We start from the raw sequence: 9,237 nt of genomic DNA on the forward strand, positions 1-9,237 counted from the left end.
TTTGTTTACAAAATCAGTGGAAGACTTCCTCAGAAATATTTTATGTAACAAATGCCTAGGGTGGGCTGAAGAGAAAAATCCAGTAAAATGGCATTTCAAAATTTATATTTTCCTTTACATGCCTCTAATTTAAAATAAATATCTGATATTTTTCATAGATTTAGTTTGTAGTACAAAATCATGAATTAAATCCTAATGATTTGAACTATAATTTAAAAAATTATATTCCAAATAGCAAGCCAATCGATTGACATTTACAATCTTCTGATAAATGCAAAGTACCAATTCCCTAAACATAGCGTTTTATGGTGACTTTTTCAAAATAACTACATCATTCAAAACTATTGAGTTGCCTGTAAAACCTAAATTGCTTGAACATTAGTTCTGGAGAAATTTTCATGATGCCTTTAAACTCTCAGTGTCAAATTCAACATTTAGGCTTTAAAGCCTATGGGTGGTATTTATCACCATTCAACACTCGCATTTATCACATAAGGAAAATATGTTTAAGAAAGCAAAACTGAAATAGGAACTCAGGGTTTAAAACACTTCTACTTATAACCTGTGTCGTTCCTCTTTGTGTAAAGTCTATGACCTGCTGTTTGGAAAGACACCAGATATGGAGAAGATTTTGAAATGCCCAAATCTTTATAACAAAGCATCGAACAGAGGATCTGAAAGAAAGAGCACAACAGAAACTCAATGAAATATCTAGCTTATCAGTCTGACAATTAATCATATCTAAGGCCCCACCTCTAATCTCAGTACCTTAGCCAAAAATTAAATACCAAGGACAGTTACAGTTTGCTCTAGATACCTAGAGGAAAGAGAACCTCCTTTTCCTCATCTTTTCCATACTAAAAATGTATACTGTATCTTTCAGATTAATATATCAGCTAAAATTTTGTTACTTCAATAAACCATTTTTGCAGCATAACTCTTGACTGCAAATAAAAGTATATATACTGACAATCCTCAAATTTTGTTTTTCAGCTTTGCTTCATCAGATTACTAGAATGAGGCAGTGTCATGCATTGATTCAATAAAATTTCCAAAGTCACCTAATAAAAGTACATTTTATGATGAGAAAACAACACCAAAAAATAGTTACCAATGCTTGATACCTCTTGAGATGTGGACCTCTTAGAGGCCAATTTGACAGTCAGAAGAGTATGAGTAATGTTTTTCAAAAGTTTCATGAGTACAAAATTAAAATCCTACAATGTAATACCAGCTTCTCTTCCTACTTAAAGGAGATCATAACGATTGAATCAGGATTACATTCAAATAAGCCAATGACAAATGTGAAATGAAAGAGTTATTCTCACCAATAATCATTGCATCCTAAAAGCCAAAGAAAAACTGCTATAAGGGACTTCTCAATCAGTCCCTATAGATAGGAATTGGTAGTTCCTACAGAAAAAATATATATACATCTATATATATATAGATATGGAGAGAGAGAGAGAGAGGGAGGGAGAGAGAGAGAGAGAGAGAGAGAGAGAAAATTGGTAATTCTACAGAAAACATTATGTCCAAGATTTTTTCCTTGGCTTCTGATTTCGAGGCCAACGAGTTTGGGTCATTTTAAAGGGCAGACATCAGCAAGTGCCTGCAGTGACAAATAGTTATTAGCTGCAACACAATACTTTTTATTTCCAAAGGTTGGCCAGATTGACCAAAGGAGAATCTTTTCTTCTATCCTTCCTTTCTCATTTTTCAAAGACTTTTTTTTTTTTTTTTTGGTCCCAGAAACCTTTAAGTCTTTTTAAGCTGGCTTTTTTCCCCCTTACGCTTTAGCTTTGCTCTTTTCTTTGAGGTCTCAGTGACATATAGGTCAGGGACGTCTTTACCAATGTAATATTAGTGGAGAGTTATAACAAGGGGGTGAGGACACTGAAGGCTTACACAGGTGCCTGAATAATTTGCCTTATCACTCCACACTGGTGCAAGTGGTGCAGAAATAAGAGCAGATTATGGCTTTTGCTACATATACTTTTGGATTTACAGATCAAGTGTAGGTTTTCAGAAAGTTTGAGTGTTACACACAATTATTACCACCATACCCACTACTATCAATGCCAGAATTATCAATGGATAAAATTTGTTTTTATTATTTTCTATTGACACTGAGTTTTATATATATATATATGTGAAATCTTGTTTCTGTATAAATTCCCATAATGCACACTCCATCCAAGAACAAACATAATTTAACTATAGATCATATCACATAACTCCTCTGGTTAAAAACCCCAATGGCTTAACATTTAATTTATAAACAAAAAAAGCCCAACTCTTTACAACGTCCCGGAAGACTGCACATCATCTGATGCATGCCAGATCTCTCCCTTCATCTCCTGGCACTTACCTCTCCATCACCAAAATCCACTCACACTTTTCCTCAAGTAGGCTAAGTTGACTATGCAATTGCACGCTTTTTGTTTCCTTTGTCTGGAACATATTCTTTAGGTATCTGCCTCTGTCACTATTCAGGTTCCTTTTCAAATGTCATTTCCTCAAACAAAAGTCCTTCTCTGGCTTCTCTGTCTGGTGTTATGTCTCAACTCACATTCCAGTTACACTCTACCACACTGCTCACTTTTCTGTATAAGACATATTGATATTTAAAAATTGTTATTACTTTTTAATGCCAGGTGCGCTGGCTCATGCCCGTAATCCCAGCACTTTGGGAGGCCGTGGAGGGCAGATCACCTGAGGTCAGGAGCTCGAGAACAGCCTGGCCAATATGGTGAAACCCCATCTCTACTAAAAATACAAAAATTAGCCAGGCATGGTGGCGCATGCCTGTAATCCCAGCTACTCGGTAGGCTGAGGCAGGAGAATCATTTGAACCCGGGAGGCAGAGGTTGCAGTGAGCAGAGACTGTGCCACTGCACTCCAGCCTGGGTGACAGAGTGAGACTCTGTCTCAACAAAATAAAATAAAATAAAATGAAACAAAAATTGTTATTTTTTAACATCTATTTCATTAGCATATAAGATCCTTGAGAGTAAGAACTTTTTGCTTCTGATTCATTCCTGTAATTCAGCACCTAGAAAAACATTTGGCATATAGAAGATAATCAATGGATAGGTGATTGAACAAACAGCTCTTTGAAACAGGTACGAGTTTTCTTGTTATCTTAAGGATAAAAAATTCCTGAAGTTTAGAAGGGGTAAGTGACAGGTTCTAGATCACATAGCATCCAGCAGAGCCAACCATTGAAAGTAAGACTACATGCCTGTCTAGCCAAATAAAATGAATTTGGACACATTGTGATGGAGCTAGGGATTGTCAAGATCATGTATAGACATCCTAACATTCTTGTCGCATTGGAAAACGCAGATATTATCATGTATTATGAGAATAATTTCTTAGTCAGGGATGGTCATTAGTGATGAAGAAAAAACCCTTTAAAACTAAGATAACTTCAAGAAAATGGGTCATTTAATCCTCTGTTCTACTGCTGCTGTTTTACACGACATTCTCCTCTAGGTATTACGTATTCAGTGGAAAATATTTAGTGCTTGTAATAAAGTAAGCCAATGGCCATATTGTGAAGTATAGTGCTCTACACTGGATGTCAGAAGACCTCAGTGCCAGACCCTGCTTCTTCACACAGTAGTTGGAGGGTAAAGTCATCTGAGACTGTCAGTTCCGTAATTTTAAAATGGAAAAAGCATATCTGTCATATCAACCTCAAGGGACTGAGAGATCAATGGAGATGATGGCTATAAAAGCACATTTTAAATGCCAGAGGGATATAAAAATGGAAGGTCCCATCATTGTTATTTAGGGATGAAGGCTTTTTAATCTATATGTGTTCAGTAACATATATTGCATGAGAAAATAGGTGAATGATGAATATTATAAAATAATACAAAAATACAATATTAATAGATATAATGCTTACCTATAAGGTCAATTTGTTTTGACCTAAATTTAGATTAGGCAACATGTTGCATAAATGGGTGGGTCAGTAACGGAAATGTCACTCTAAAAAATGTGCAAGGAAGCAACTGTCCATCATGGTCAAATTACTTCAGATGCCTTGAATTCATGAATAAAACACTCCATCAAATTTTATGCATCTCAAGCACTTCTCACACATTTAAATCCACAACATCCTAGTGAGGTAGGGAAGGAGGAATATTTCATTTTTCTTATTTGGTGAAATGAGGATAATGAGGCACAAGGAGGTTAATGATAGATTTGAAGTGAATGCAATCAGTCAGCAGCAAAACCATGGTTGGAATTTAGGTTCCCTGAATTCCACTTAGGGTTCTTTTCGAGATACTACGTTAACTACATTTCATTGTTGGAGGAATTTAATTCAGTCATGTAGATACAGATGCTCACAACATCTTTTTTCATCCTACTAAGGAATCTTGCTGCTAATTCAACCACTGAGACAAATAATACGTGGACCTGCGCTGGAGATTTGGCTTCGGTGTTCATTCAAGTCATTTCCTGAGCTAACTTCTGTTCCTTTTCCTATGAATACTATATTTTTTCACATTATACCACTGAATTATTCAGATTCATTGAATACCCTTAGAGTTATTAACATGTTATATCTAAAAAAATTACTGCTTTCTCCTTTTGGTTATATAGCTAGAAAGTCAGGATATAGTAAAAGGAGACCCAAAATGTAGGTTTTGAAAATAGAACGTCAGTTTTTGAGGACACCACACACTTTTGTTTTTCTTCCCATCTCATTGATCACTCCTTTTCTTTTCTTTTTTTTTTTTTTTTTTTTTTTTTTTTTTTTAGATGAAGTCTCGCTCCATCGCCCAGGTTGGAGCGCAGTGGCACAATCTTTTGGCTCACTGCAACCTCTGTCTCCTAGGTACAAGCAATTCTTCTGCCTCAGCCTCCAGAGCAGCTGGGACTACAGGTGTGTGCCACCACACCCAGCTAATTTTGTATTTTTAGTAGAGATGGGGTTTCACCATGTTGGCCAGGCTGGTCTCCAACTCCTGACCTCGTGATCTGCCCGCCTCGGCCTCCCAAAGTACTAGGATTACAGGTGTGAGCCACCATGCCTGGCTGATCATTCCTTTTCATTATCCTGTGCTGTTTTCTCCTTTGTCAATCCACCTCTTAATGTTAGAGTCCTTAGTCACGTTGTCATTTCTATCTATATTCTTCCTTAGTGATACAATCTGATATCACAGCTTTAAATGTTATCTTATACAAACACCTCCGAAATTTAAACGTCCAACCTGGACCTTTTTTGCTGAACTCTAAAGGTATTTATTCAATTGCCTATTCAATATATCTGGTGATATGTCTAACAGATATCCAAATTTAATGCCTCCCTAATCGCCCCATTCTATCTATAGTCTTTATTATTTCAGTTTAGGGCAACTTTATCCCTTCCAGTTAATCAGAGCAAAAACGTTGGAGCCATTCATGACTCCATTTTTCTCCCATGCCCCTTATCCAATTCATCCAGAAATCCTTGTTGGCCCCACTTCCAAACACGTTCAGAATATGACTATTTCTTATCACCCTGGTCTCAGTCAGCATCATCTTCTCACACTTAGAAAGAGAAAAACGTCCTTACAATGGCTTCAAAGGTCCACCCTCACCTCACTAACATTCTCTCCTAAACCTCTCTCACTTACTTCACTCTAGCCACACTGCAGATAACCAGCCCCAAACAGCAGATAAACCGATGGCTTAGGAATTCTGCATTGACTGTTTACTGAACCCAAAATGAGTTTACTGCTGATATCTACATGATTCAACCCCATGCCTCATTCTTTGAGATCTTTGCTCAAATGTCACCTTCTCAATGAAGAATACCATGATACCCTATTTAAAATTGGAATGTACTCCAGCATGAGCCATCTCTTATTTTACCCTTCTTCTTTTTTTTCACAGCACTTATCACTTTTGAACATACTATACAATATACTTATCGTATCTGTCTTTCACTATTTGAGACCCCCAAGAATCCAGAGGGCATACATCTTTTCTGCTTTGTTCACTGACACATTCAAAACATCTACAGTAGTGGCTGACATATGGTGGTGGCTCAATAAGTATTTTTCAAATTAACCTGATGCTAAGTCCAGAACTTTCAACTGCCCAGTCACAGAGCTAGCTTCAGGGCATTTAAAGAACTGAACAAACAGATAATGGAAGTGGGTTCATGTAGATAGAGAAGAAATTAAAAGAATTCTCATTCTCATGTAGAATGAGAAGACAATGGGGAATAGGGATACACATGTCCTTTTTTTTTCTACTGCAGGCAAGGCACAGAAGCGGGGATGTAAACAAAGGAGACATCCGTGAAGATGCTAATATAGGTTTTCACAATTCTAAAAAAAAGATAAAATAAACTATGTGTTTAACGGTGACATGGTTTTAAAGAGTTGCTGAATGATCAGTCTCCCTTTCCTTTTCTTTCTTCCAGCGCTATATTATTTCAAAGGGTCACTGGTTACTTCATGGGAACCAGACGTTGTTATTGCCACTTGTATAAGTCAGATGAATAAAGAGAAATTCTTGATAAATGAGGTATACTTTGAAGGCAAAATGTTCAGAAAATAGGGTATATGTGAGATGAAAAAGTATCCTCAGAGATGAAAGGATTTGCCAAAAACTGATATAAATTCCATGGGTGCAAACAGAGTTCTAAGCCTACTGCAATAAGATTTGACTTTATTGGATTATCTATGAAATATATTATTGTAGTAGGGGTCTATTTTTATGGCCACATCTGGTCTAGACTTCACAAAAGAATTACAATGGGAATATACTCTACCAAGATGCCAAAAAACACATATCTCTTCATTCCTGAAAGATATTGCCTAGACTGTCTAAATCTGAAAATTAACAAGGATTCTGTAATTACTTCATTTTCATCTACATTTCCCCAAACTAAAAGGTATCCTAGATTATTTGAGCTATAGATGTGTTTTTATGTACAGCTTTTTAAATTAATAGTCCACTAGCTCTATCGGTTACAGCAGTAATAAAAAAACTTTTATGGAAAGTTCTCTGAGACTAAAAGTGATTTACATGCAAATATATGGAAATGATTCCCTTCTTAAAACAGTAACAAAAGGTGTGTTTGAAAATTCATGCTTTGGAAGAATAAATGATTTTCACATAATCATTCTAGTAAGTTGTTTATTTTTATTGACATGCATCTTTTATTAGCTATTTAATGGTGGTTCACAGGGGTGAGTGCACTGGATCACGCCTGTAATCTCGGCATTTTGGGAGGCCAAGGTGGGCAGATTGCTTGAGCTCAGGAGTTTGAGACCAGATGGTGAAACACCATCTCTAAAAAAAAATACAAAAAATTAGCTGGGCATGGTGGCGTGCGCCAGTAGCCTCAGCTACCCGGGAGGCTGAGGTGGGAGGATCACCTGAGCCTGGATGGTTGAGGCAGTGAGCCATGAATGCACCACTGCACTCAAGCCTGGGCAGCAGAGCAAGACTTTGTCTCAAAAAAATGTGATCCACAAAAAACAAATTTAAGTTGTTGAATATTTTAGGCTAGCTCAAATACTTAACTTTAATTTTCTATTAAAATATATACCTTATTTAATGCTAATGGTATCTAATTTGCAGCTATCGTTACTATACACATAAACTGCACAAATCAAAATAAATAGAAAACAAATATTAATAAAATTTAGTCATTAACCCTTCTGGATGACATGTTATAATTAGGATATTAATTGGAATTGGCATTATAAAACCATTTAGAATTCGTTGTATTAAAAAAATCTGATTCCATAAATCATGGGGAATTTTTTATTTTAATGACCCATGTATTAGACTTACAGAAAATTGTGGACCTTAAGTAATGTTTTATTAAAATGTTCTGCTATTTAATTTGTCATATTTAAAAATAGCTAAAATCATAGTTTTAATTTTAGTAATATTTTTCATTGTGTTCTAAGTAAGCCAACCCTTAAACATCAAATGCTTTCTTTTGGGATATGTCTTTTCAACTTCTGGTTCCCTCAGGTTTGATCCATTGACATTCTAGGCACTGTTGGTGTGTCCCACCTAGTATATACCAGCCAGGCCTTCTTTATCATGCCCCCTGGGCAAAGAAAAACTGATTCCATTTATACTAGAATAATATCATTGTTGTCACTACTTATTACCTAGGCAATTGGTCACACTCTACTCCCTTCTTATGGTACTTTCATTAAGGCATATGTTCCTTTATGAAAAACATTCCATTCCTGGCAGCCGAAGTCAATCTACAAATAGCCAGGTAGCAAATCAATGCAGATTACAAGAGAAAGTGAACAAGCAACAGAGATTAAACAAAACAAAACAAAACAAAACAAAACAAAACAAAACAAAACAAATGTTAGAGATTGTGACTTGAACGTGGCACAGCCTAGTTCCTTGTTCTGCCTTGTCCTTCAAAAAACAGGGTCATTATTTTGTGAGATTCAAACTGGTTTTGAAAATTAATCATCTCATGGTATACAAATTCTAATCCACCGATGGATGAAGTAGAACTTTCCATGTTTCTTCCACTGCCACTTAGAAAATAATATTGGGAATTGAACAATGAGAACACATGGACACAGGAAGGGGAATATCACACTCTGGGGACTGCTGTGGGGTGGGGGGAAGGGGGAGGGATAGCATTGGGAGATTTACCTTAAGCTAGATGACGAGTTAGTGGGTGCAGCGCACCAGCATGGCACATGTATACATATGTAACTAACCTGCACATTGTGCACATGTGCCCTAAAACTTAAAGTATAATAATAAATTTAAAAAAAAGAAAATAATATTTTATTATGTACAGCGTGCATTATCAGCACAGATAACATAAAACTTTTTTTAAAAATGTGGGTTTATTCTAGATTTTTAAATCTATGAGGCTTATTTAGAATGCTGAATTAAACTATACAAGTTAATCTTGAAGAACCAGATATTGGAATTGCTGCTCTCATTAATTCCTCCCACCTGATTTGTGTATGCCATCGCCAGCAAACCACATAGTTGGTGCCTCCTTTACAAAAAAAAGTTGTGCTAGGAGACAAGCATAAATTACAAGGTCAGAGGAATACCTTCAAGAATCTTAAACCCATTTGAACAGTATAGAAACCTAGGGATGGAAAAAACTCTAATAGAAGAAAACTACAAGAACCAAAGGGGTAAGCCAGTACAACCTCTGCAAAGGTAATCTTACTCCATCCACTAAACATAGCATTATATGTTTAGTCACTCACACACAAAGAT

At 36.2% G+C, this 9,237-nt stretch overlaps 1 protein-coding gene across 21 annotated transcripts in view; it reads right to left on the minus strand.

Annotated features, from left to right (window-relative positions):
• DMD (dystrophin) overlaps nucleotides 1–9,237 on the minus strand; it is a 2,220,167-nt gene that overhangs the window by 1,009,030 nt on the left and 1,201,900 nt on the right.

Source organism: Homo sapiens, chromosome X (assembly GCF_000001405.40).
Source record: "Homo sapiens chromosome X, GRCh38.p14 Primary Assembly".
Taxonomy (NCBI): domain Eukaryota; kingdom Metazoa; phylum Chordata; class Mammalia; order Primates; family Hominidae; genus Homo; species Homo sapiens.